Here is a 27,483-nt window from a genome sequence, read left to right as displayed (position 1 = left end):
GCAGCTGGCCCTTGAGGGCTCAGCAGGTTCAGCGGGCTCAGCCGCTGGGTCATTTGGAACTGGATGGGTCATTTGGAACTGGATGGGTCATTTGGATGTTGGGGTGGAGAAGGAAGCTGAGGGCTTTATTAAGTATTCTTCTTTCTCTGTCTTCCCCACAGCGACCCTGAACACTTGCCAAGGTATCTCAAGAGCTTGTCATATGGGATCCATGCTCAAAGGAAAGAAGGGGGAGAGGGCACTGAAGGTGTTGAGGTTGGCTTGAAGAAGGGAGATTGAGGTAAGGGATATGAAGTCAGCAGACCTGGGTTCTAGTACCAGAATACTAACTTGCTCTGTGACTGTTAGCAAGTAATTTAACCTCTCTGAACTTCATGTTTCTGCTCTTCAAAATGTCAACACTTTAATAAAAAGCCTTGTCTCTCCCCTTGGGTTGTTGTAGGGAGAAGAGTGTGTTTTCAAGCTGTAACATTCTGTGCAAATGCTCCTCGTGGTTGTCACTATTTTCCTTCTCTTTAAGCATCTGCAGCTCTCCAAACACAAACCCTGATGTAGGCAGACCTGAGGAAATTCAACTGGGAGATTCCAGTGCTCCCAGCCAAAGCACCACGAGGAGCTGTGCAGGCTGAAGCCCCTTATGCCAACTCGCCATGGACCAAGAGTCCCCAGATCCAGTTGGGATTTGCCAAGGTTGAACGAGAGGTGAGTGCCGTACATTTTCCCCACCCGCTATTCCTGGAGCTCTGTGTGGGCAGCCAGCAGATGAGCTGGAATTGGGGGTAATGGACAGCCACTCCTCCCTGCTCCTGTCTCCATGCTACAAACACACTTCATCAGCTTCCTCTCTGGGCATTGTGCCCTTCCGGCCTCCCACCGTTCCCTTTGTGTGGCCAACAAGCTATTTCTGCCACCCGCCTGCTTTGGCCCTGACACAGGGTCTGAAACTCCCCTTTGCTTTTCATTAACACATCCTTGAGCTACCTCCCACCCTTCCCCCGCCTCTTGGCCTGGCCTCCATCTCCCCCACCCCCACCGCAGACATCACCACAGCAACCGGTTCCAACAAGCATCCAGCTACTTCAATCTGCAATGAGATGCCTGCCAATATTCCCTGCCTGCCCATGAGGCCTCCCCACTCTCTTGTCCCTCCTGCAGTTAGTCCTGCCCCTCTCTCTGCTGCACAGATGGGCCCTGGGGTCACTGACCTTATTACATTTTTTCCTCTGTTACCCCAAGTATGTAGAGCCCAGGGCAGGATCCCAGCTCAGGTCCACTCATCATAACCTCTAACTTCCCACCAGCCACATAAATACATGCATGCATACACACAGAGCCACACACACGATCTATACATACTTGTGCACTGCAAGGCATACACCACCATCCAGATTCATCCAGACACACATATAACCACACTGTTGCAGCTAGACACACCCACGCGCACACACACATAAGACACACAGACATGCATGCCTACAAGTACAGACACAGCACACACCACATTCACACATGCGCATGAACCAGCATGCAGGCATTCACAAAGACATGCACACACAGGCACGCATGTGCCTCTGCATGAAATCCTAGGTCAATTTTTCCTCCTCTTTTGCATCTTCTTAAAGCATCCCAACAGCTCCACCTATCCCTTTACAGGCAGAAAAGAAAAATTATCTGGCTTGACCTAGAACTAGCTCCTTCCCCTTTTACGGAGGCTCCCCTTCCTGTTTCCTTTCTCCTCTCCCATAGTCTTCAGCTGGCTTTCTGCTCTGTGTGAGGAGAACAAGGAGATCTGTCTAGGTCCTGGCAAGATTTCAAGGGGGAGAGGCAAAGCCTGTCCTCTCAGGGAGAGACCACCTGCAAGAAGCAAGTCTGAGGTCCTGACTAGATAAGATCAGAGACATCGCCAGGCACCTCCAGTCTGTGCTGGCAGTGCCAGATGCGATGCCCCCCTACCCGGGCATCAGCCAATCAGTATTCCCTTGTGTCCAGCCTGAGCTCCCCCAGGAGAATGGAAATCCAACAGACCCACAGTGTGAAAGTAAATATAAGTGTGCACATGCATGTGTGTACATGGGCACCTCGTGGCTCAGGCTGACACCTGGGGAGGACTAGGCAGGAATAGGGATCCATTCTAGGGACATTTCAAATATTTTTTAAAAAATCAAATGGAAGCAGCGGGAACCCTGGAGCTGCAGTAAGAACATGCAATGCTGAGTCCTTGGTCCTTGGTCTTAAGCTTAAGCCAGTTAAATTCCCTGAACCTCGATGTTCTCTTAAGCAATGGGAGCAGCATTGCTCCTCCTGGGAGGTGGTGACTCCAATGAGTGATGTGTGGGGACGTGCCAGGAAGCTGTAATGTCCTGTTTCAGTAGGAGACAGCGCTAATAACAGCCATGAAAATAATAACAACAGTCATAAAAAAGATAAGCTTGCATTGTCTGGAAAATTCATTTATGTGGAACAACTCATTTTTCGAGCAGGATGGGGAGATGAGGCGTGACAGTATTATGATTTTTTCTAAGTGCTTTTAACTGAGCCCAAGGAGGTGTTCAGGTGGCTACCAGCTGCAGTGAGAGGGAGCCTGCTTCTTGCTCTAAGTCCTTGGCTGTGTTCACACCCTGCCTGCACATGCCGGCCCTGCCCAGCCCCTGCTTACCTTCTTGCCCTGCATCCTCAGCTTGGATCTCCACATTCACCGTGTCCCCCCAGATAGGGGCTCTGGTGGGCTCTGAGGTCACAGATGTGACTGCCTTGGAGCTCTGATTGTTCTTTTCCTCAGATGTGCTTTTCCTGGGGAGAGCAGGGGCAGGGTGAGTCAAAGGGAGGGGTTCTGTCTGCTGCTTGTCCCCATCCCAGGCTCCACTGTCCATAAATCTGAGTGAAAGGTGGACAGAATATGGAGAGCTCTGTCCCATGCATAGACACTTGTGTCATCCCAGGCCTCTCCCCCAGCTCTCCTGCCAGCCCAGGTGACCACACTGTCTCGCTGGCCACTACTGAGGCCTTCACTTAGTCACAAGCCTCTCACTTAGAGAGGCTCAGGGCAGGGGTAGGGATGGGGGTAGAGGGTAGATGCTTTGCCCGCCTGACTTCCTAGCCCTTGCCAGGGAGGGCTCTCCAGCAGGAGCCCGTGTGCATGGCCTCCCTCTTCTCTAGGTTCTGTTTCGGTGGGAGGAATCCTCTGGGCAGAGTGGCTGTGCGATGCCCCGCCTGGCTGTCCTCTCTTCTTCACCTTATTTCCCTAAACTTCTGGCCCAGATTTCCAGGCTCCACCCGGCAATCCCAGTTCTAAATGCTTGCAATGAAGCACGCACATCCTGCTGCCTTCTGAGATGCCTGCTGTGTGCAGGGCCTTGGGCTGGGCCCCTGGAGCTGGAAACCTGGAGCTGGGTCCAGGCCTGGGGGCAGGGGGTGGTGGAAAGGGCTTTCCAGCCCTCAAGCACTCAGATTGTTCAGGACCAGGCTGTATAAGGTGAGAGGTAAGCTTGGGCCCTCTGCATCCCAGTGCACCCCACAGATATCGGAGATCCAGAGCCGTCAAACGGCTCAGGGAGAGAGTGAATACTTCTTCTGTAGAAGAGGTTACTAGGCCAGGGCCATCCCCAGCGCTGCTCCATTAACTGCAGCAGTCATGGGCTGAGGAATCATCCCAGAGATCCTGTAGCAGGGGGAGCCACACCACACACCTTGCGGAGGGAGGCAAGACGCACTAATGGTACCCCAGGATGGGAACAAAGACGTCATCCCCACCAGCCCTTGTTTCACCCTCAAGGACCCCAAAGGGAGTGTGGGGCAGGCCAGTTGGCTCAGACCCCACCTTCTCTGTGCATTAGCAATACCAACATGGTTCTTCCCAGCCCAGCTTGTTCCTCTCCTCCAAGAAGCCCTCTGGAGTCCCCCGGCCCTCACTGTTCCCTCTGCCCTTTAGACTTAAGTGACGCTGTGACCTGGCTCCTTGCTCCCACTCATCACAGCCCTGCTCCTGTGGGTAACCATGCTTGCAGGAGCCCTTCTTCTGTGGGTGACCATGCTTGCAGGAGTTCCATCTCCAAGTTCCAGGGGTCAACTGAGGACTCCTGCTGTGCTTTGACTGAGGCAGTATGACACAGTGATTGTAAGAAGGACCCTGCAGCTGGGCATTTTGGGTTCCAAATCCCAGCTCTACCCCGTGCCAGCTGTGTGATGTTAGGCAAGGTACAGAACCTGTGGTGCCTTATTTTCTTCATCTATAAAACAGAGATGCTAACGGTGCCCAGCCTGCAGGGCGGTTGTGGGAAGGAAACGAATGAATATGTGTAGTGCCTGGCACATTGCTAAGTACCAAGAAAGTGTTAATAATTCTTAGTACCTTAAATTATTAAAATATAAATATGATTCCTGTTATTACCCCATAGCACCAGAGAGCTTAGCCTTATTGACCCTCCTGTGACCAGCCCCTTTGCCGTGGCGTGATTTTTCCCCATCATGCCCCCAGTTCTGGGTCTACAATTGGGAATGTCTGGCTGCTCGGGCCAAGGTGTGGAATCCTGGAAAGAGCACAGGCTTGGGAATGATTCAGAGCTGGGTTTGGAGCCCGCGTTTATCCTGGCGAGATCATCTCCCCTCTGCACCTACTAAGTTCCTCCTTTTTCAATAGTACCGCCCTGAGAGAGTGTTATAAGGACTGGAAAGAAAGCATGTTCAGCTCCTGGCATCCAGAAAGCCCCAGTTCATGTTATTCCCTCATTTGTGATACAAAACAGCTTGGGTGTTTTTGCAAGAGGACCTGCCTGAGGGCAGCATGAAGGGGAAGGAGCACTGAGTACAAGCTGGGGTGAGAAGGGGCATCTCCCAGAGAGCCGGAGTCCTTCTCAGATGAGCGTCCATCCAGACACACCCCTGCAGGCTCTGCAGAATGGACTCCTCACACCCGCAAAGTGGTGTGTGGGAGGCTGCCAGGCTAGAGAGGGAAGGCAGAAGCCTGGCAGGAACGTGGCGCTCAGCTTGCTCCCTCCACCCTCGGGTCCCTTTTTCCCTCCGGCTCTGTGACCATGCTTGACCAAGGGGTGCAATCTAAGTACCTCCCATGACGCTCTGTGCCTAGGCTCCCGCTCCTGACAGCTGCCCCAGCAAAGTCAGAGACCTCAGGCTCTCAGCAGCCTCCCTGTGCTACCCAGCCACCCGATCTGCTACTTATAGATATATAGTTAGTGCACAATAAGGCCTCACAGCCTCCCTCCTCAGGGACCTGCACAGAAACAGCAGAAAAGCAGAAGCGCCAAGGGTGTGTCAGGAAGAAGTCAGTCCTTCTGCACCCAGATGTCAACCCCAGAGCTGGACACAAAACTGCACCTGCATGGACACATTCCTGGGGGATTCCCAGGGATCTTCATGTGGCTCTGTGTGCACAGAGAAGACACAAATGAAGGTGTGAAGTCACAGGCAACATAGTGACAGGATTCAGATTGAACCCCATGCCAGCCTGTCTTCTACTGTCCTCGTATCCTCCCAACCCTCCTGGGAGGGTGGCAGGAGGAATTCCCAGGTGCAAAGAGGTGGGTAAAGGTGACGGGGCAAGGCAAGGGAGCAGGTGCTGACTTTCCTCCAGCAGAGAAAGAGTTAAGCAACTATTTTCCCCACCTCCCTGCCCCATCTAATATGAAGGTCATCAGGGCTAGGTGAGTGCAGATAAAGCAACTGGGTGGGAGGGGGAGGCCCCAGGGGAAGGGGGAGGCTTTTAGCAGGTGGAGGGAGGCTCTCGGGGTAATGGCTTTTCCTGGCACAGCTGACTCCTCCGGGTCTTGATGCTATTCTAGAATCTGGAGAGCAAGAAGGGCCTCTGATTCTTCACAGAATAGGAGCAGGGGATGAGCTCACTCCCTGCTCCCAGCCCCATTCTGCACCCCGCAGATGGGCACGTGGCTGAGTTCCAGGTCCCCAGGCTCTCTCGGGGCTCCCAATGCAGTCTTAGAACCCAGGGGACCTCACCAAGACCTGCTTCCCTAGGCCTCTCCACAGGCTGTCTGCAAGGAGAGACCCCCCTCCCTGTCCCCCCAAAGACCTGCCCTGTTGACTTGGACCCGTTGGCTCCAGGCATCCAGGGCCAGGAGGAGCTAGTGGGTGGTGCCTGCTGTCTCGGGGCCAGATTTAATCCAGCCACAGCATGGGCAGCCATGCCAGGATAGGACTGGAGTTGGGTTTAGAGTGCAGCAGCCCTGAGACCAAGCTGCAGGAAAACATAAACCTCCCTCAACCTGGCCTACCCTCCAGGCTGCTGGAAGGGTGTGTGTGTCTTTGACAAACTCCAGTCCCCAGCTAGGCATTCCTGGGGCCCCCACCCCAGCAGGGTGTAAGGGGGCCAGGCTCAAGCACAGCTGTGAGTGGGAGGGAACAAGGACTTTGCTTTCCTTCTGCAAGGTCATGACTAAGGGAAAATATGTCATCTGGTTCCCGGGGGCTGCAGCTGTGAGTGGAAGAAATGAGCATCGGAAAAGCATGGGATTTGATGGACAGAAAGCAAGAGTGCTCATGAGCCGCTTTCCCCCTCACTCCAGGAGACACACACACACATCCACACATACATACACACACATGCACACACATGCGCACAAATGCATGCACACACACATACATGCACACATGCACGTGCACAAAGGCTGCCCAGAGAGGTGTGAGTACCATACTGTACCCACTCTTGTTACCCAGTCCTCAGGCTGCCTCTGGGGTCTTCTATTCACACCTGAGCCCACCTCCCCCACCTGCCCTGCCTGTCCTGTTGGCCTCTGGCTCCCTCAAAGCCTCAAATCATGAACAATAGTCAAGACCTGGCCGCCTCCTGGGCAGAGCTTTAGAAGCTGGGGCACAGGCGGCCTGGTTTGTTTTGAGTGCCAATCCCAGGACAGCCACCAAGAGAGCAAAGGAAAGGGGAGGGCCCTGACTCAGATCTGCTGTGGCTGCTGGGGTCTTGGCTGGGCAGGCTTGTAAATCCTGAGAGACTAGAGTGATGTTCCCAGAAGCCCCTGGCACTGGGGAAGTCAGGCAGGCACTGGGAATAGTGGATAAGGAGCAGACCTTTAAGTGGATGGATGGTGGAATAGGAGGTATTGGGCACCTTTGACCTGGCCCATCACAACCCATTGCTGGCTCACCTGGGAAACTGAGAGGGAGGTGAGGGAACTGGCAGTCCTGCAGGCCAGCTGTCAAGGTGTAATGGTTGGGTCTCAATCTTTCCTGAGAAGGTAGGGCAATTCTCCTCAACCTGCTTCCTCCATGCCAACTTCTGAGCCAGGGAGGCCTGCCTCCCCCATCCTCCAGAAGTCCAAGAGGCTGCCAGACTCCCAGGCCATAGGCTAGGCCTGCCTCCACTCCTGGAAGCTCTGAAAAACCCAGTGACCTCTTCCCAATCCAGGAGCCCAGTCTTATGCAACAGGAGGTGTGGAGTTGGCTTCTGCAGAGACAGTCATCTGAATGGGGTGGCCAAAGTCTGGGTTCCTGTGTTTCTGACCCTAAACCTGGAGAAGGCAGGGCTTGAACAGATAGATTGGAGGATCTTTCCACTTAGAGGAGAGAAGGTGAGGCTTGAGGGGGGCTGTTTGGCTGATGCAGGTGCTGACTTCGGAGCATGGGTTGGGGGAGTCAGGAGAGGGAGGCTGTGGTTCTCCCCCGAGTCCCTCTCAAGGCCCCTTTTTGCCGTGGCCACAATCAGTGTCTTCTGAAGCCAGGCAGGCAGGAGGGAAGAGCCCCAGCCCTCACACCTCTGGCCTTAGCCAAGCTCCCCTGGGATTGCTGGGCAGGGGGTTGTGCCCAGGGACTCCTCAAAGGAGGAGCTGAGATCTGAGGCAGGGAGTCAGTGCTGAAGCTCCCTTCTCTTCTCGCCCCCGCTTCACCAGACAACAGCCTTGACAAGGCCCCCAGTCTGTGCTGCCGCCTCCCCCAGCCCCATGCTGACGGCAGGGCAGCTGGTCCTTGTGGGTTTTGAGCCCCAGGAGGCTGCCACTTAAGGCATGAGCAGGGCTGTTATTCTCAGCAACGCGAGGGACTCTCATCCTGGGTTTCATTTATTAATTGGACTCTAATGAAGCATCACTAATTCCTGATGGTGCTACAACACTGCAGGTGGGCCTCAGTTTACAGAATAACTGACTCTGGAGTAAGGAGGGCACCAACTGGAGGCCAGCAGCTCCCAGTCCCTGAGGGCCCAGCTCTTCCCCTGCCCTTGCCTGCAGGGCATGGGGGCTGCTCTGGGAAAAAGAAAGGGCACCTTCCGAGAAACTCTGAGAAGCACTCTAGCAAAGGCAAAGATCTTCCTGTCAAACAAGGATGCTGCTCCTCCACCCCACCACTACTCACACTTCATCCAAAAGTGTGGGTACCCCTCCTTTCCACCCATGGCGGACAAGGAGAAAGCCACAGCCCACAGAGCTTTGTGATGGCCCAAAGTCAGGCTTAAGTGCCGGTGTTCTGGGCATTGTTGCACCTTCTACCCTCTTCTGGGAAGGGGATTTCCTTGTTTTCCAGAGATACTTTTTTGCTCTTTTTGAGGCTGGAGGCGATGCAGGGTCAGGAAGGGCCGCTGTCTGCACCATCTGTCAGCCTTTGGAGTGTCATGCCGTGTCCTGTCCTGTGGCATAGCTGGTGAGGGGCCCTGGGAGCCACCTTCTTGGGCCGCAATGGGTGGACCTGTCAGTCACCATCACAGTCCTATGGGGAGGCAATGACAGTCCCCTTGGAAGGTGTGGGCCTGGATGAGCAACCCAGCAGGACTTGCCAGGACGTGGAATCCTCTCAATGGTTCGGTCACTCTGAACAGCCACTCTTTCGAGTACCCCCTTTCTCCCGTACGCAGCCTTAGGGCAGGAGGAACGTGGGCCAGACATAAAGTCGAACTTCCTGACCTCACAGAAATCACCGGACTCTTCTGATTCCTGTCATTCTGATTCTCATTCCCTGCTTAACTCGTGTGGTGTTCAGTCCACGTTTTGAGGTCTGGGGCCACTCCCTGGCTCAGACACAGAGCCCAGCCTCCTGAGGGGCTCCGATACCCTAGTGCTGGCGACTGGAGCCTGGATGGCCGCCTTCCTGGGAGACTGTGGGCAAAGGATGAGTGAGTGGGGACAGCATTATGATTCCTGGCGCCTCCCCACCCTCACCACCACTACTAGACTGTTCACCCCTCAAGGGCAGGGACCTGTCTTGTCGCTGCTGGAGCTCAGTTCCCACTGCCTGGGCAAAGTGGGGCCCAGCAGGTGTTTGCTGAAAGAAAGAAGAAGGGACAGACCACTGGAAAATCAGGTGGGACAGTGGCAGCCCCTCCTTTCAAGCTCTGCCAGGCCAACTCACTGGCCCAGGCTGCTGAGCCAGTGGCAGCTCCTCAGAACTGTCCTGGAAATAGCTCTTGGCTGGGAGGAGGGTTCAGATCCCAAGTCCTGTCCCAAGAGCGTGTCCCCAAAGTGGGGAAGCAGAACCCAGCTGTGGGGGGAAAGTGGGGGAACTGGGCTCCCTCCAGGCCCAGGGGGCACTGAGCGCCTCGGTCCAGCCTGGCCCCTGGTCTCTCTGTCCCATTCCAGGGTGCTGTGGAGGGATCGAGGTCTGGTTTTGTTAGCCACACTGACCATCCTGAGAGTCCCTGCCACAGTCCCCGGCTAGTCCCTAGGCCCCACTCCTCCAACGCCACAGGGCACCGCAGGAGCACACCGCTGGGAAGTCGACAGGAGAGGGAGGGGGCCATGCCCACTAGCTCCTCTCCTCACTCAGGGCCAGTTGCTCCTCTGTCCCCACCTTTGTATGGGAACAGGGAAGGGGTAGGCCACAGCCTGCCCTCCCAGGGATAAAACCCCAGGGCCTCCTGAGCATTCCCAGGCCAGGCTTGCTGAAGACCAGAGAGACAGCTTTGTGTTCAGGCTCACCAGTCGTGGGCTTGAGTCCTGGCTCCTGGCTCACCGCTGCTGACTGTGTGGCACATCCCCTAAGCATCTCTGAGCTCAGCTCCTCCCTGATAACAGCGCTCAGTATCTCACAGGTTTCGAGAAGGAGGGAGGATGAGGAGATCAATGAGGAAGGCTGAGTCTGAGTGGAGACGTATATTGGCAGGTGGGTCTATGGAACTGGAGCTCAGGAGAGGGCTGGATCCAGGGATTCTGGGGCTTTCAGGATGGGGGGAAAGGGGGATGCCTAGGTGAGGGGGGATCTCTTAAAAAGTATAGAGGCCAGGCGTGGTGGCTCACACCTGTAATTCCAGCATTTTGGGAGGCCGAGGCAGGTGGATCACCTGCAATCAGGAGTTCGAGACCAGCTTGGCCAACATGGCAAAACACCGTCTCTACTAAAAATACAATAATTAGCCGGGTGTGTTGGCACACGCCTGTAATCCCAGCTACTCAGGAGGCTGAGGCAGGAGAATTGCTTGAACCCCAGAGGTGGAGGTTGCAGTGAGCCGAGATCACATCATTGCACACCAGCCTGGGTGACAAGAGTGAAACTCCGTCTCAAAAAAAAAAAAAAAAAAAAGAAGGAGGGTAGAGATGCAGAGGAGAGGCCAAGGACTGAGCCAGGAGCATTGACATTCGCAGGGTACTGGGACAAAGAGTATCCCACAGTGGAGTGGCCAGAGACAGGGTAGAAAATCAGGAGAGGGAGTTGTCCTGGAGGCGAGGAAAGAAGGGGCTTCAAGAAAGGAGAATGCCTACTTATACATGTGTGGAGGATGCACAGCCATTGGGAGGTCACTCCCCTGGCAGAGGGGGACCAGTCAGCAAAGCTGGAGGCACCGGTGGTGTCCGAGTTGGGTTGAGGGTTCAGGAGAGGAACAATGAGGGGCCCAGAGATCCTCACTGACCAGAGGTGTTTGGCCTGAAAGTAAAACTTGGCTGATTTTACACAAACATTTGGATTTCTGGTTTCTCTTTAAAAATTGAGAGAGGCGTCCGGGCGCAGTGGCTCACGCCTGTAATCCCAGCACTTTGGGAGGCTGAGGCGGGCAGATCATGAAGTCAGGAGTTCGAGACCAGCCTGACAAACATGGTGAAACCCCATCTCTACTAAAAATACAAAAATTAGCTGGGAGTGGTGGCGCGCGCCTGTAATCCCAGCTACTCAAGAGGTTGAGGCAGGAGAGTCTCTTGAACCTGGGAGGCAGAGGTTGCAGTGAGCTGAGATCACACCACTGCACTCCAGCCCAGGCAACAGAGTGAGACTCCATCTCAAAAAATAAAAAAATAAAATAAATAAAATTGAGAGAGGCTGGCCAGGGTGGCTCACACCTGTAATGTCAGCACTTTGTGAGGCCAAGGTGGGAGGATCACTTGAGGCCGGGAGTTTGAACCAGCCTGGGCAACACAGTGAAACCCCATCTCTACACATTAAAAAAACCTAATAATTAAACATAAACAAAAATGAAGAGGGTTGACAACCCATGCCCTCATTCTTCCATGTAGAGATCAGTAGGACGGGCAGGGGCTACTCCTCTGAATGAGCCAGGTGCTCTCTGGTTTGCCACAGTTGCTTCCTCTCTCTATTGCATCACATGCCAGGAACTACAGGATTTGCATAAGTAGATTGGCCCTGAAGACATTGACTTTGAATTCTGGCTCCCGGCTCCACTGCTGCTGACTGTGTGGCACATCCCCTAAGCATCTCTGAGCTCAGCTTCTCCCTGATAATGGTGTTCAGTATCTCACAGGTTTCTGGATGGATAGGGGGAGCCTCAGAGAAGGAGGGGGGGAACGAGGAGATCAACGGGATTCCAGGGCAGCTCCTTCTGCTGGAAACTTAAGTGTGTGCATGGAAGGATGACAGAATCAGGGAATACACAGGGGTAGGAGGAGCCTAATCGGTGCCCAGAGCCCCAGCCCCTGCTCAATGGCCTCCCTCACTCCACTACAAGCTAGACCCTGTGGCATGTGACCCTGGGACCCACGGGGGCCAGGCTAGGGAGAGGGAAGCTACATAAAGTCTGGAGGGATCACCAAGCCTCCTGGCTGCTCATGATGACCAGGGAGGGAGGAGGAGGCTGTCAGCCGCTCTGCCCATGCTCAGGAGTAAGCAGAGGAGACAGCCCATGCAGGATGCAATGAGGACACCAGGAAGGCCCCCTCTGGCCTGCCTCATGGCCCCAAATCTCCCCCATGAATGCCCTCTGAGGCTGTTATGCAGGATTCCAGAAGAAGCCTGTGGGGGAGAACTCATGCTTCTTGAGTCTGAATGGGGGTTTCAGGCATGAGAACACCTTAGGGGCCCCAGGTGGCAGAGATGGGAGAACATCTGGAAAGAATCCTTATGGCTTCGGTCTGGCTGGGGATGGTTCTCAGGCCAACCATCCTTCAACCACTGACACCAGCTGTGTTTATAACCCTGGGACAAAGGGAAGTTCTCACTGAACAAAAATTCTGAGGTTCTGAGTCTCCAGGAACTGATGTCATGGGGGGCAGGTGTGGGTGGAAAATCAAACCATGGTGTGGGGGCCCTGCAGGGTAGATGAAGACCCTGGTTCCCAGGCCTCACCCCAGGCCTGCTCCCCACCCTTGTCTTTTTTCCCATGGGGATCCTGCTGGAAGAGAAGGAGCCTTGGCTTCTGTAGGAGCCAGCGGCCAGATGGGAATAGTCATCTTCATCTGCTCCACTCCCACTGGCCAGCCATGTGACCTCAGACACATCCACATTCTCCCCTGGGCCTTGGCCTCCTCCACTATCACATGGGAATAACGCAGCCTGCTTCCAGGACTGCACCGTTAGAACCAGAGGGTGTAAATAGCCGAGCTCGCAGTGAGCTTCGAGTGGAACATCATCAGCAAGTGAGGGCTGCCTTATTCCTGGGACTATCCCATGATCACTGTCACTGTGTTATTGTTATTTTTGCTGAGCCCAACCCTCTGGCTGCTGAGACAAGCCCATGGGTCACCTGTGAGTCATTGTGAGCCTCCACCCACTCTGCCCAGATCCCTGCCTTCAGGGGTCCTTGACTGAAGGCCCCCAGCCAGACAGGGAGGAAGGAGAACTCCAGATCCCAGGATGGGTCTCCACACTAGTCACTGCATCTTCTCTGGAAGTCTGGGTTAGCATCCTGTCTCAACAACCCCCCTTCCAAAAGGGGTAACCACGGCATGAAATATCAAGGCAAAGAATGAGGTGGAGGGAGCTTTTAGATTTTGAAATCCTGGATCCTGCATCCTCCTTTGGGTACTAACTAGTTCTGTGACCTTGGGCAAGTCATGGAAATGCTTTGAGCCTCAGGAACCTCATCTGTAAAATGAGGTTTAATGATAATATTATACCTCAATTATAGGACTGGGTGGCGATTAAACTGTATGAAACACACAATACACTCCTAGCTTATTTCTCAGGGGTATGGTGAGTATTTGATAACTGTAACCTTCTTTATCCCCCCTCTTGCCAGGATTTCAAACAATTGTCCTACTTTTAACATCTTCTTCAATTAGTCACCAGAGTCAGAGCTCATCCTGTGACCAAGGCCAGCCTCAGTCTGTGACCAGGGTCAGGGCTGAGCTCAGTCTACAATCAAGGTCAAGCTCAGTGTAGGGCCAGGGTCAGGGCTCTCAGGCTTATCTAAGAAAACCAAGGATCCTCTGAGTATGACTCTAGCTGGCCCTGATCTGTGCCACCTCCCCTGTGCCATCCCAAGCCTGCCCCACATGCACAGAGGAAGCAGCGCCTTCCCCTTCGAGTCCTGGCTCTGTCCCCACTCATTAGCTCTGGGCAGCAGGCAGCCGAAGAAGCAGCTGCCAATGCTGGCAGCCCTGACATGCAGCCTTTGGCCAAGGGTCAGAACCCCACAGGCCATCTCCTGGCTAGCCCCTTTTCCATATCTCATCCTGTCCACTGGGGCACCCCGTGCCTGTCAGTGCCACTGTCTTCCTGGTCCCTGCTGTGCTCTGACTGGCAGGTCTCTCTGTGTCAGGCTGGGTGACAGGTGCTGGGTACTGTTCAAGCCCCAGGGCACTGAGCCAGGCCTAGACCAGTCATGGGACACCCTGGGCCTGGAGACTGGCCCAGTAGACCTGGGCACAGAATCTGTCTCGGGTGGCAGAGCTGGGGTTCTTGTTTTCTCTAAAGAACTGAGAGTGTTTCCCAGGCCAGAACACAAGCCAGCCAGGCAGGCCTGCAGCAGCATGCAGGCCAAAGCTTACATCCTGGCCATGGGAAGACTGAGGCTCAGAGAAGGCAAGGACTGGCCTGAGTTCATACAGGGAGTCAGGGGCAGTGGGCCAGATGCTAGGTCTTCCTGTACCCAGCCTGGCTTCTTTCCACTGTCCTGTGGCTTTCTTATGATAGGTCTCAGTGCCCACTGTGAGCCTGCTCAGGACTCCCCCTTCCCCCTGTAGAGCTTTAGACCCGCAGCATCTCACACTGTCTAGCACCACCATCTCTATAGCCCTTTGAGACAGGTTCCCAGGTGAGGTTTTCAGGCATTGAAAGACAAAGTAACTTTCCCACAGTCATACAGCAAGCTAGAAACAGGGCCAGATTCATTCGACGATTATTTAGTGACAGCTTCCTATGTTCCAGATACTGTGTTTCATGATAGGAATAAAATGGTGAGCAAAGCAGACCTGGTGGTTGTCCACGGAACTAGTGGGGCACAGTGGAGGCGGGATGGGGAGGCACTGGCAAAGAGTACGCACATAATCACATAAAGTGCATAAGCACATATCCTGGTACAGAGTCGCATGAAAACATGTAATGAGGGAGGATTTGGCCTCATCTGGGAGATCAGTGAGGACAGCTGAGATGGGAAAAGGGGAAGGGAGAATGTTTCTGGGAATGTTTCTCAGAATGTTTCTGAGAATGCCTAGGGTGGGAGGGAACAGGGTTTGCTCAGAGAACGGAGAGATGTCCAGTGTGGCTGGAGCAAAGAGAGGGAGGTGGAGGTCCTGTTGCTGGGGAGCTGGAGGGGCCGGCAAAGACCCAACCGTGCTGAGCCTGGAATCCTCTTTACTTTGGGAACAATGGGAAGCCACTGAGTTCCTTTGGTACTATGGCACCACAGTACCCAATGGTAACCTGCCTTTGAAGGGATCTTCAGGGAGCAAGAGTAGAGGAACCAAGAGCAGTTGGAGAAATAGTGCGGTGGCCTAAGTCGGTGGTGGAGCTGGTGGAGAGAAGCAGCTCAATCCGAGAGACCGGGAGACATGGACATGACTTGGTGATGGATTGGATGAGGGAAGAATGTGATTCCTGACACCAGGATGGGGTGGGATCACATGGAAAAAGAGTACAGGCTAGAGAAAGAAGAGCCACATAGGGCAGAAACCTGAGACAGGCTAACATTTAAGGTCAGGTAGACGAGATCAAGAGATGTGGCCATAGGGGAAGGTGGGAGAGTGGGGTAACTTGGAGGGGGAGAAAGGGCTTCAAAGAGACTGAGTTGTCTGGAGGGGCTGCTGCCTCTGTGTAATAAACAAATTCACCCGTCCAAACCCAAAGAATGGACTCAGAGACCCAGGGAACAGCGAAATTGAGACTTTTAACACGGGTCTTGCAAGATTGGGTGTCTGATAGGCAGGCACACCCAGCACAGTTTCAATAAGCAATTTACCCCTAGTGCACGGGTCTCTCCCCCGGTTCCTCATAGGGTGAATACTGCGGGGTCACAGTTTTCCCAGATGTCACCTATTGATTGTTAGCTTTAAGTTTGTTTGTTTGTTTGTTTTTGGGTTGTCTTATTGCATTTTTTGCAGCCCACAATGCACTGCAATCCTAGTTAGCTCAGGGGCTATTCAAGTTGTTTTTATTTTTTTATTATTTTTTTTAGACGGAGCCTCGCTCTGTCACCCAGGCTGGAGTGCAGTTGCTTGATCTCAGCTCACTGCAAGCTCCACCTCCTGGATTTACGCCATTCTCCTGCCTCAGCCTCCCGAGTAGCTGGGACTACAGGCACCCGCCACCACACCCGGCTAATTTTTTTTGTATTTTTAGTAGAGACGGGGTTTCACTGTGTTAGCTAGGATGATCTCGATCTCCTGACCTCATGATCCATCCGCCTCGGCCTCCCAAAGTGCTGGGATTACAGGTGTGAGCCGCTGCACCCGGCCTCAAGTATTTGGCTTATGACCTAAGCAGCTGGGCGGGCTGATAAAAACAGACAAAATGAGCTATTTTGCAGACTAATAAACTTTCATTTTAGACTAAACTTCTTGTTCTGGTGAGGGCGACTAAGCAGGGAGGGTGGGGGGCTGCCGACAAGCAGGCGTTGGCTATCCAAGCAGGGGCCTAGTATATATCCGGTTTCTTCTGTAGTTTGCTGATCTAAGCTGATTTAAGGCACTTTGTCTTGGCAATGGACCACTGTATACATTATTTCCTTTACCTGAGAGATCGCAAAAGATGAGATGCCCGTTGGATGCAGGGTCAGAGATGGTGGTCACTGGTGACTACAGAGAAGCTATATTGGTGGAGAAGTGGGGTCAGATTGGAAGCCAACCAGTGGCTTAGATGAAGACAGGCTGACCCCCAAGATGAGCCAAGTGCCTGCTGGTCTGGAATAGTTTTGGCTGGAGGATGTGCCTATTACTATATGGGCTCAAGCCTGGTGCCTCCTTAAGGGGTGAAATGGCCATGCCCCAAACAAGAGAAGCACCATCTTTGGGCCTGAACCCTCTTCAGCTCCCCACTAAGGGGATGAATGAACGAACAGTTCTGGGGCACTCTCAGGTCTGTGCTTCACTACTTCCCCTGCCCCGATCCCTGCAACTGTGGTCCTGCCTGCTAGGGATGCAACAAACCCAGAGAGAAGGACAGAATCCAGGCTGAGACAGGGATTCCCAGGATATCCATCCCCAACCTCAGGTGAGAGAAGATGGGATGGCAGAGGGCAGGAAACCAAGCCAGGAGACTAAGCTCAGGGTACCAAAAAACAGGGGCAGCAAAAAGATGAGAAAAAATGCTTGGAAAGAATGTAAACTTATATATAATATATATAATATATATACATATTTTCGCTGTTTTATTGAGGCATAATTGACAAATAAAAAATAAAATTTAGATGTATTTAAAATGTACACAGTGATGATTTGATACACATATACTTTCCGCAGTGATCATCATGATCAAGTTAGTTAACACATCTATCACCTCACAGTTACCTTTCGTGTATGTGGTGAAAACACTTAAAATCTACTCTTAGCACATTTCAAATACATAATATAATATCTTTTTTTTTTTAGACGGAGTCTCACTCTGTCGCCCAGGCTGGAGTGCACTGGCACAGTCTCGGCTCAGCGCAACCTCCACCTCCCAGATTCAAGTGATTCTCCTGCCTCAGCCTCCCAAGTAGCTGGGATTACATGTGCCCACCACCACGCCAAGCTAGTTTTTGTATTTTTAATAGAGATGGGGTTTCACTATGTTGGCCAGGCTGGTCTCAAACTCCTGACCTCAGGTGATCCACCTGTCTTGGCCTCCCAAAATGCTGGGATTACAGGCATGAGCCACCGTGCCCAGCCACAATATAGTATCATTAACTAGAGTCACCTGCTGCATATTAAATCCCCAGAATTACTCATCCCAAAACTGAGAGTTTGTATCCTTTGGCCAACATTTCCTCATTTCCCTCATCCCCAGCCCCTGACAGCCACCATTCTACTCTCTGCATCTATGAGTTTATCTTAGATTCCATTAAGTGGGATTATGCAGTATTTGTCTTTCTGTGTCTAGCTTATTTCATCTAGCATAACGTCCTCCAGGCTCATCTGCATTATCGCAAATGGCAGAATGTCCTCCCTTTTATGGCTGAATAATATTACATTGTGTATATGTTGTCTATATGTGGATATATATGTATACAATATATAATTGTGTGTGTATATATGACACAAGTATATACAAATATATGTATATGACGTGTGTGTGTGTGTGTGTGTGTGTGTATATATATATATATGACATTTTTTCTTTATCCATTCATTCATCAACAAACACTTAGGTTGATCCTATATCTTGGCTATTGTGAATAATTCTGCAATGAATATAGGGGTACTCTTGACCTCAGATGATCCACCTGCCTCAGCCTCCAAAGTTCTGGGATTACAGGCATGAGCCACTGCACCAGGCCCAGATATCTTTTCTTTTCTTTTTCTTTTACTTTTTTTTTTTGAGATGGGAGTCTCGCTCTGTTGCCCAGGCTGGAGTGCAGTGGCGCAATCTTGGCTCACTGCAACCTCTGCCTCCCAGGTTCAAGAAATTCTCCTGCCTCAGCCTTCCTAGTAGCTAGGATTACAGGTGCCTGCTACCACGCTCGGCTAATTTTTGTATTTTTAGTAGAGATGGGGTTTCACCATATTGGCCAGGGTGGTCTTGAACTCCTGACCCTGTGATCCGCCCACCTCGGCCCCGCAAAGTGCTGGGATTACAGGCGTGAGCCACTGCGCCCGGCCCGATATCTTTTCAAAATACTGATTTTGTTTCCTTTGGATATATACCCAGTAGTGAGATTGCGGGATCATATGGTAGTTTTATTTTCAATTTCTTGAGGAACCTCCGTGCTGTGCTCCATAATGGCTGCACCATTTTACTGCGTATTCCCACCAACAGTGTACAAGCGTTCTCTTTTCTCCACACCCGCACCAACACTTATCTCTTGTGTTTTTGAGAACAGCCATCCTAACAGGTGTGAGGTGCTATCTCCTTGTGGCTTTGATTTGCACTTCCCTGATGATTAGCGATGTGCACCTTTTCATGTGCCTGTTGGCCATTTGTATTTCTTTGTTGGAAAAATGTCTATTCGGGTCTTTTTCTCATTTTTTAAATTGGGTTACTTGTCTTTTTGCTATTGAGTTGTATGAGTTACTCATATATTTTGGATATTAACTCCTTATCCGATACATGTTTTGCAAATATTTTCTCCCATACCATAGGCTGCCTTTTTGTTTTGTGGATTATTCCCTTTGCTGCGCAGAAGCTTTTCAGTTTGATGCAGTCTCACTTATTTTTGATTCTGTTGCCTGTACTTCCGGTGTCATATCCGAAGATTAATTGCCAAGACCAATGTAAAGGAGCCTTTCCCCTGTGTTTTCTTCTAGGGGTGTTACAGTTGCAGGTCTTACATTGAAGTCTTCACAAATACATATTTTTAAAAAGCATTGAAATATTCATCATGAACAAAACGAAAACTTTCATGAACTTTCTTATGCCTATTGTGTGCTTTGTTACTTGTTTATTTGTAATCAGATGTGCAGGGATATAAATTCTTTCCAGGTTCTATGGCCTCTGAGGGTCTGGATCCTCCCTCTGGGGTTTCTGCCTGGGGCTGGGGGTGAGCACTGAAAGCCCCCTTCAGGTCCTGACAGCTCGGCCTTCACATTCTCAGAAGCCCTTCCTTCTCCCATCATTTGCATCTCATTAGCACCACCTCGAGCTGGTGGCAGCTTCGCCTGTCTGGAGCCCTGGGACGCAGGCTGCAGCCTGGCCCGGGCGCTGCTCCCAGCTGGAGAAGGGTGCAGCGAAGTGCTTTCCCCTCCCCCCTCCCCGCGTTCTCTGTCCCCACCCTCCCGCCCCACGTGCCGCAGCCACAGGGAGGGTGCAGGAGGACTCGGGGTGTGCCCGGCTCTCCGAACCCCCACCCAGGCTCGTGTCGCCTAGGCTCCTGCCGCGCGTTCCCATGGCAACCGGGTGATGGCGCGGGTCGCGGTGCCTGCCTAGGAGCCACACAGCCACCCAGCTCCCCGCCCCGCCGCCCAGGCCGGATTGGTGACAGTCAGGGCCTCAATCTCCCGAGATGATCGGCGATAATTGGTTTATGGAAATAGCTGAGCGGAGAAGGCGAGCTCCCCGCTAGAAACCAGCCTCCCTGCCAAGCCTGCTCCCACCACCTGTGCTTCCCTCACCACGGAAATGGAGTTGGGGGAGGGATGGCCGAGGAGCTGGGCTGGCACAAATGGGGCTTTTAAGGCAAGTGTTTCACCTGTTGCTCTCGGCACAGCTTCTACCCCCCTTTCACAGTGGGGGCCCTGGGGGGGCAGGGACTTATCATAGTAACCAGGTGTTGGCCTCAGTCACTCCTTGGCTCCTAAGTTTGGGCTCAGGCCTATGTTGGATGCATTGTTGAGGGAAATGGAGGAGGAGATCCGTCCTCAGGGAGCCCCAGAGGAGTGCATAAACCATGTTGATATAAAGTGCTTCAGACCAGGGTCACCACTGCTGTGGAGCTCCAGAAGAGGGAGAGCTCAACTCTGGTGGCTGCCTGGAGGAGGAGGCTTTGAAGGCAGGATTTCAGCAGGCATTGGTGAGTGGGCTGGGGCAGGCACTCCCCAAAAGGAAATGTGGGCAACAGACTCTTGGCAGGAACTGAATGGTGCCAGTATTGGTGGGGGAGGGGAAGTATAGGGTGGCTTGGTGGGAGGCCACCAAGGCTCCCGCCGTCTGTCTATAGAAGGTCTAGGGGTGACATGCTCCTTGGAGGGTGCTTTATAATAAAGATTGAGCAAATATTCAGTGTCCCCAGCGAAGGTTGGCTGGATGGAGATTGTGTTGCCCCTTGGCGCCTTTCTGGAAGAAGTGAGACCCGTGAGGTGGGCATAGACGTGGCGTGGCAGGCCTTGGTGCCAGGCTGGGGAAGTGTGTACCCTGACAGCAGCTGGCTGGAGGGGGTGTGTGGGGTGCATTAAAGGCCCAGAACTAGGGGAGTCCCCATAATAGAAGTGACTGGAGAAGGAGGGGAGGAGGGGAGGGTGGTTATGAGGACCCTACCCCAGGGCTGGGTATGGTGGGGTGGGGCACCCAGAAGTCAGGAGAGGCAGGTCCCAAATCTTCCCCTTCCCCAATCTGACCATCATGCCCATGAGCCCAGCCCAGACTTTTGCATACAAGGAACCTGCCCCACTGGAGCTGAGCTGTGACCAATCCCTGCCCCACTGGTGTGGGGTGGGGAGGGGTGACTCTCTGGATCCGTTGGCACCCTGTCTTCCCCAGCCCTGGTGAGCAGCTTCCCATGCAGCAGCGGAGATGCCAGGTAGTGCCCACAGCAGCTCCTCCCCTCTGGGTATGACAGTCCCAGTCCTGGGCCTTTGGGTGCTAGTATTCCAAATAGCTGTCCCCTGGTTTCTGCTCACAGCCCAACCCATCCCCTGCCCCCACTCTCACGCAGCTACTTACACCACCACATAGGGCCACGGCTCGGAGCCATCCTTGCAGGCAGGCAGGTTGGTAGCCCCATGGAGGGTGACCATGATGGTCTCCTTCTTAGAGGGAGACAGGTGACCGATCTCAGGTTCCGTGCTCTGGGAGGCGATCAGGGGCTCCTCTGGGTCTTCAGTGTTCTGTGGGGAGAGCCAGGGCTGAGTGTTTTTTTTTTTTTTTGAGACAGAGTCTTGCTCTGTTGCCCAGGCTGGAGTGCAGTGGTGCCATCTTGGCTCACTGCAGCCTCTACCTCCCAGGTTCAAGCAATTCTCCTGCCTCAGCCTCCACAGTAGCTGGGATTACAGGCATGTGCCACCACATCCAACTAATTTTTGTATTTTTAGTAGAGACGGGATTTCCCCATGGTCTCAAACTCCTGACCTCAGGTGATCTGCCTGCCTCGGCCTCCCAGAGTGCTGGGATTATAGGCATGAGTTACTGCACCTGGCCCTGAGTGGCCTCCTCTGCTGCGGCACCTCCCTTCACTGCCACCCTCTAGCACTAGCCACTCACAGCTTCCGTCAAGTGCCTGCCTCCCTCTGTCACCCTTCCGCCCACTCTGCAAGGCAGTCGCCTTGGCCCCATTTTCTCCCTACTTCTGTCCCCATCCCACGTCTCTCTCAGTGCCTCTCCTCTAGTCCTGGATCCTACCCTTCCTGCAGGATGAGACAGGCCACCTCACCTTTCAAGTCTGGTCCCACTTCTAAGCCTTAGCTTTCGCAGGTGTCCTCGTCTGTAATTCCTAAATCCCACCTGCTTTTGCAGTCCTAACAATGGGCCACCTTCTTCAGTCTATCTTGTAACCTCACCTCAGCTCACCCATCACCTCAGGTCCCTCCTGTGCACAGCACTTTACAGCTGACAAAGCTTCTCCACGTTCATGGGGGCATTCAGTGCATTACGTGGAGGTGAATGCATGTGTCTGTCCCAGATGCCCCACCTGTCTTCTACCCAGGAAACTTGCGGACTAGGGAGGAAGAGGTGCCTGCCCATGCAGGGGGCTTCCTACACCAGTTGCCCCAAGCAGGGACTCAGCAGCTTAGTAACTTGTGGATTCATGGCCCAAAGGACCATCTTAACGAGAGCTGCTGAGAGAAGACAAAGCCCTGGCCGGCTGAGGCGGTCAGGGAAGACAGCAGGGAGGAGGAGGCCTTAAAGGGTTGGGAGAAGGTGCAGGAGTGGAGTCAGGGAGGACAGGCCAGGAGCAGAACACTGGAGCGAAGGCAGCAAGCGGGAAGGGGCAGAGCTTTCCAAGGCCCAGAGGTGGCTCAGTTTGACTGGGGAGGCAGTGGGGACTCAGAGAAGACGGCAGAGCTGGGCATATAAACGCGGTGGGGTGGGGAGGGGTGTGGCCATGAGGCTGCTGTGGCTCAGGGGTGTCCTTGTCCTCCCTGGCCCTGGTCCTCCACTGGCCGGCTGGCTGACTCACCACTTCCAGTTAATCTGACACAGATTAACCCTTGATAGGCCTCCCGTGGTAGGAGGTCTTGCCTACCCTTTGTCCCTCCAGCTGATATGAGGGGCCATAGAGGGGCACTCCTGGCTCTGGGAGAGGAGCAATGGACCTCCTCAGGGTGGAGGCAGGGCCCTGAGGGGCCACTGGCAGGCTGTTCCTCATCTCTGGAAAGCTCAGCCTGTCAGACCCTGCATTCCAGGGCAGGCCCTGGTTGGGTGGGGTTGAGAACAATGTCCTATTACATAGAGAGGAAATTGAGGCCCAGACAGGAGCAAGGACCTGGGCCCTGGACGGGCTCTGGTTTTGGTGGCAGCCTCGGCAGGCTGGGTCCTTGGCTCAGAATGGCCGGCTCCTGAGGAGCCCTGAGTGTCAGGAGAGGTAGGTTTAAACCAGCTCTGCCTCTCACCATGCTGGGCCCCAAAGCCAGCCATGTTCTGAGAGTCAGTTTCCCCAGTGGGGAGATGAGGACTTGGACCGACCTATCTGGAAGCTGCTCTGCTCCTACCTTGAGCCTTGGCTCCTGGAAGCCTCAGGCAGACAGAAAGAAAAGGGCACAGTGCCTGAGGCTCTGCTCTGCCCCGAGGAGTTTTAGGAACGTTATTTCATCCATTTCTCACGGTAGCGTGGGGTGCCCACCAATCGGAGCCACACACCCCCTCAACAGCTCCCCTTGGGGGTCTACTGGCCTCTCAAAGCTAACGAACTCTGGACTCCCCTTCAAACCCCTCCTCCTGCTGTCTGCCCCAACTCGTTAATGAGTTAATGGCGATGCCATTGTTCTAGTTGTTCAAGCCCCACATCTTGGAGTCCTTCCTGATTCTTCCCTCTCTTCCTCTACATCCCTTATCCAGTTCTTCAGCAGATCCTGTCAGCTCCACCTTCAAACTATATCTGGACTCTGACCCTTCTCAGCATCCTCAGGTCAGCACTCAGGTCCCAGACACCTGTATGTCCCGACTCGCCTCTGATGGAGTTCTGTTTCCTCTCCGACTCTCCGTCCACCCCATCCAATCGCCAGAGTGAGCCTTTACAGATTGGACCCAGACCCTCTCTCTCCTCTGCTCAGAACCCTGAAGTAGCTTGCTGCTTCTCTCAGAGCCTTGCAATGGCCCGTGGGGCCCTCCAGGAGCTGGCCCAGAAAACTGACCTCATCTTGTCCCACGGGCCCTGTGGGTCACTCCGCTCCAGCCACACTGGCCTCCTGGCTGTTTCTCACACCTACCAAGCTCCCTCCTGCCTCCCCGCCTCTGCCCTAGCTGTTTCCTCTGCTCCACCCTGGGTGTCACTCCAGAACTGTCATCCCTGTGCCTTGCTCCCCTACTTCCCTTGGCTTGCCTGGTGCAGGCTGTGGTCCTTGCCTAGCAAGATGGCTAATTAGGAGGTGAGAATACATGCCCCCCAGATCAGAAGTGCCAGTCCTGCAGAGAGGCCCCCCTCTCCTTCCTCTGACTGAGGAGGCCACCCCCACCCTCTTCCAGGACCCAGCAGGGCCTGTCACCATCTACAGAGGTGTTGATGAGGGTTGCCCCTCCTTCTCTCCCCCATGCTCCTGTCAGGGGAGAATGAGGGGAGGGGAAGATGCCCCTGCCTGGAGGTGAAGGAGGAGGAGCAGCCAGAGTGCTGTTCCCTGCCCTCCTGGGTAGGCAGCTTCCTCCCATATCCACCCTCATGCAGGCCACCATGACCCCCCCACTCCCCAGCAGCCTTGCTCTCCTGGTTTAGTGGCACAGGAGTAAGGCTGGCAGCCTCAGGGCAAAAAGACCTAGGTTTCAACTTGGCCGGGTGTGGTGGCTCACGCCTGTAATCCCAGCACTTTGGGAGGCCGAGGCGGGCAAATCACTGGAGGCTGGGAGATCGAGACCAGCCGGGCCAACATGGTGAAACCCCATCTCTACTAAAAATACAAAAATCAGCCAGGTGCGGTGGCATGAGGCTGTAATCCCAGCTATTCGGGAGGCTGAGGCAGAAGAATTGCTTGAACCTAGGAGGCGGAGGTTGCAGTGAGCCAAGATGGTACTCCAGCCTGGGTGATAGAGTGAGACTCCAACAACAACAACAAAAAAAAGACCTAGGTTTCAGCTCAGCTCTGGCCCTACCTCTCTGTACCACCTCCCTGAGCCTTGATTTTCCCACCTGGCCAATGGGAATGTCTGGAATAGTTTGTGATTCAGCCTTTCCAGTGGTTACTGTGCCTGAAGTTCCTGCAGTGAGGCTGGGAGGGGTGATTCATGTTCCTAGATGGATTCACCTTGCTGTGAGGGCACAGGGCCTCTCATGAGCTCCCTAGGGCCATGAAAGGGAGGGCCCAGGAGTAAGACCATTGTCCAGGGGCTCTCATTGGCTCCCTGGCAGCCCCAGAGCCCAACTAGGCATCTGCAGACCTGGCCAGGAGTCACACCGGCTCCTCCTCTATCTCCCCTGCACCTCCCCTCGGGGACAGCCTTCCCTTCTGGGAATAAAGCTTGCAGGAAGTTTGGCGAGAACTATTGTGTTTCAGTTCTGGGCATGAGGCCAACTGCCAGGCTGGCGCCTCCTGGTGAGGCTTGCAGGCATGTGCCCGCTGGGCAGGCTGGGCCCAGGGCCAGGGAGGCTTGGGGCCAAGGGTAAGGCCAGAAGGGGGATGGTGGGCCAGGGCTGCTAACCTCCTGCTATCCCTTTTTTATTCCCATGTCTGGATGGGAATCTGCAGGCTTCCCTCAGAGATGTCCTGCATCAGAACCAATGTCCTCGACCCATCTGTTACCCCTGGCCTGCACTAGAGGATTGATGAGGGAACAGAAAATGCATATACTGGGTTACATGAGTGGTAGGGAACTGGGGGTGATGGGGTACCCCCCCCGTAACTCTCAGTTTGCACAAACTCATCTGTAGGGGTGTGGTGAGCCCTGGGGAGGGAATTCATGCCTCCTCTTGGCTGGGAGCAAAGCTGGATGCTCACCATCAGCTTCTCAGGCTCCCTCTCACTTAACCCACCCAACACTGCTAGGGTGCAGAGATCAGCAGGCAGCTTTTCCAGGCAGGGGTTTGGCCAGTTTACCTGCCCAAGGCCACACAGCCAGTGGATGAGAGGCTGGGCTGTGAGCACCGAAGCAAGCCTGATTCCAAAGCTCAGCACTCTCAGCTACTCCACTGGGCCTGGCAAGATTGGAAGCTGCTAACTCCAGTGCCCTTATCCAAACAGACAGGCAGCCTTGCCCTCAATAGGCCAGGATTAGCCAGCAGATGTTGCAGGGGAACTAGGACTGCCCATCACTTAGGGCATTTTTGGATCCATGTGCTGGGGGGAAGGGCTAGGGTGAGAGGAGGAGGTAGGAACAACAGGGAGTTAATGGTCCTTGAATTCAGCTCCCGCGGGTGGGTTGGGGGGTGCTTAACTTGGTTCTGGTGGGGAGAGAGATGGAAGGAGACAAACTCTTCCACCCACTCCTCCCTATCCTCCAGCAGCCTGGGAGGCCTGAGGAGCTGAGCCCAGTTCTGCCCTCTAGAAGGGCCGTGTGTCTGAAAAGTCACACTAGCTGGAGCGGGGCTGGGCTGGGAGGCAGGGTGCCTGGCTGCCCGGATCTGTCATTTGGGCAAGTTACTTGACTGCAGTGGGGCTATTTCCCAGCAGTTTCACAAGGACTTTCAGTTAAAAATGGTCCCCCATGTTCCTTCTAGTTTCAACATCTAAACTTGCCTGAGAGTTATGGCGGCCAGGGGAAAGCTCTTTCACAGGTGAGGAAGCACACTCAGAGAAAGTAAACCTCTTGTATGAAAGCACACAGCTTAGCTAGTGAGGCCAGGGCTGGAACTGGAAGCTGGGTCTGTCTGACCCCACACTCTTGCTGTCTCTGCTGTGCTCTAACCATGCTTCCTTGGATGTGGATCCCTTCTCTGCTCCACAGTGGATGCCCCCCTGAACTCATAATCTGAGTATCCATTGGTGGCAGCAAGAGGAATTATGTTCTTTGGAGCAGAGAAGCATTCCAAAAGATGACACAAAAGTCAGAAATCATTAAAAAGGGATAGGTTTGATTACATTTTAAAAATCTATACTAACTTCTATAATGGTCCAAAATGCCCTGCAATACAAAGAAAAGAAAAAAAGGAGAAAATGTTTGCTGCATATTTAAAAAAGGATTAATATCCCTAGTATACAAAGAGCACTGAAACCTATAAACATTATCCAATTTAAAAAACATGAACTGGGGATTCACAAAAGAAGAAACACAAATATGTATTATATATACATGATGAGCATCCTTTTTTTTTTTTTTTTTGAGATGGAGTTTTGCTCTTTGTTGCTCAGGCTGGAGTGCTGTGGTGCTATCTCGGCTCACTGCAACCTCCGCCTCCTGGGTTCAAGCAATTCTCCTGTCTCAGCCTCCCGAGTAGCTGGGATTACAGGTGCCCGCTACCACGCCTGGTTAATTTTTGTATTTTTAGTACAGACGGGGTTTCACCATGTTGGCCAGACTGGTCTCGAACTTCTGCCTTGGCCTCCCAAAGTGCTGGGATTACAGGAGTGAGACACCAGGCCTGGCCAACGTCCTTTTATTTTTGAGGCAGAATCTCACACTGTTGCCCAGGCTGGAGGGCAGTGGCGTGATCTCGGCTCACTGCAACATCTGCCTCCCAGGTTCAAGCGATTCTCCTGCCTCAGCATCCTGAGTAACTGGGATTACAGACGTGCACCAACACACCCAGCTAATTTTTGTATTTTTAGTAGAGATGGGGTTTCACCATGTTGGCCAGGCTGGTCTCAAACTCCTGCCTCGGCCTCGCCAAGTGCTGGGATTACAGGCGTGAGCCACCACCCCCGGCCATGATGAGCATCCTTATAGGCGATTCTACCCAGCTATCAAAAGCGCTTCTCAAAGCTACTAATCAAAGCAACCTTGGCTCCTCCTCAGGACTCCCACGCACACTCCCCAGATCCCCAA

At 53.4% G+C, this 27,483-nt stretch overlaps 1 protein-coding gene across 16 annotated transcripts in view, besides 6 other annotated features; it reads right to left on the bottom strand.

The window, feature by feature from the left end:
• CCDC33 (coiled-coil domain containing 33) overlaps positions 1 to 27,483 on the bottom strand; it is a 133,474-nt gene that overhangs the window by 71,243 nt on the left and 34,748 nt on the right. For all 16 annotated transcript variants that reach the window (XR_001751401.2, XM_047433141.1, XM_011522085.4 and 13 more), the window contains 2 exons: positions 21,082 to 21,245; positions 2,657 to 2,790 (listed from right to left, as the gene is read on the bottom strand). Coding sequence is in view for 15 of the 16 variants with exons in the window: in XM_047433141.1 (XP_047289097.1) it covers positions 2,657 to 2,790; positions 21,082 to 21,245 (298 nt within the window). In the remaining variant the exon portion in view is untranslated. The remainder of the gene's footprint in view (positions 1 to 2,656; positions 2,791 to 21,081; positions 21,246 to 27,483) is intronic.
• Positions 266 to 1,096: an enhancer, noted in NCBI's record as "H3K4me1 hESC enhancer chr15:74556475-74557305 (GRCh37/hg19 assembly coordinates)". NCBI's record gives its function as "activates a minimal SCP1, AML or CMV promoter by ChIP-STARR-seq in naive and primed H9 embryonic stem cells {active_cell/tissue: H9 hESC(naive and primed)}" and the evidence as "EXISTENCE:reporter gene assay evidence [ECO:0000049][PMID:30033119]".
• Positions 1,097 to 1,929: an enhancer, noted in NCBI's record as "H3K4me1 hESC enhancer chr15:74555642-74556474 (GRCh37/hg19 assembly coordinates)". NCBI's record gives its function as "activates a minimal SCP1, AML or CMV promoter by ChIP-STARR-seq in naive H9 embryonic stem cells {active_cell/tissue: H9 hESC(naive)}" and the evidence as "EXISTENCE:reporter gene assay evidence [ECO:0000049][PMID:30033119]".
• Positions 19,275 to 20,274: an enhancer, noted in NCBI's record as "H3K4me1 hESC enhancer chr15:74537297-74538296 (GRCh37/hg19 assembly coordinates)". NCBI's record gives its function as "activates a minimal SCP1, AML or CMV promoter by ChIP-STARR-seq in primed H9 embryonic stem cells {active_cell/tissue: H9 hESC(primed)}" and the evidence as "EXISTENCE:reporter gene assay evidence [ECO:0000049][PMID:30033119]".
• Positions 20,775 to 21,276: an enhancer, noted in NCBI's record as "H3K4me1 hESC enhancer chr15:74536295-74536796 (GRCh37/hg19 assembly coordinates)". NCBI's record gives its function as "activates a minimal SCP1, AML or CMV promoter by ChIP-STARR-seq in primed H9 embryonic stem cells {active_cell/tissue: H9 hESC(primed)}" and the evidence as "EXISTENCE:reporter gene assay evidence [ECO:0000049][PMID:30033119]".
• Positions 25,063 to 25,658: an enhancer, noted in NCBI's record as "H3K4me1 hESC enhancer chr15:74531913-74532508 (GRCh37/hg19 assembly coordinates)". NCBI's record gives its function as "activates a minimal SCP1, AML or CMV promoter by ChIP-STARR-seq in naive H9 embryonic stem cells {active_cell/tissue: H9 hESC(naive)}" and the evidence as "EXISTENCE:reporter gene assay evidence [ECO:0000049][PMID:30033119]".
• Positions 25,659 to 26,254: an enhancer, noted in NCBI's record as "H3K4me1 hESC enhancer chr15:74531317-74531912 (GRCh37/hg19 assembly coordinates)". NCBI's record gives its function as "activates a minimal SCP1, AML or CMV promoter by ChIP-STARR-seq in naive H9 embryonic stem cells {active_cell/tissue: H9 hESC(naive)}" and the evidence as "EXISTENCE:reporter gene assay evidence [ECO:0000049][PMID:30033119]".

The sequence above is a fragment of the Homo sapiens genome, chromosome 15, assembly GCF_000001405.40.
Source record: "Homo sapiens chromosome 15, GRCh38.p14 Primary Assembly".
NCBI classification, from domain to species: domain Eukaryota; kingdom Metazoa; phylum Chordata; class Mammalia; order Primates; family Hominidae; genus Homo; species Homo sapiens.
The sequence above is the reverse complement of the archived record's forward strand: the minus strand, read 5'-3'. Positions and strand labels throughout refer to the sequence as shown.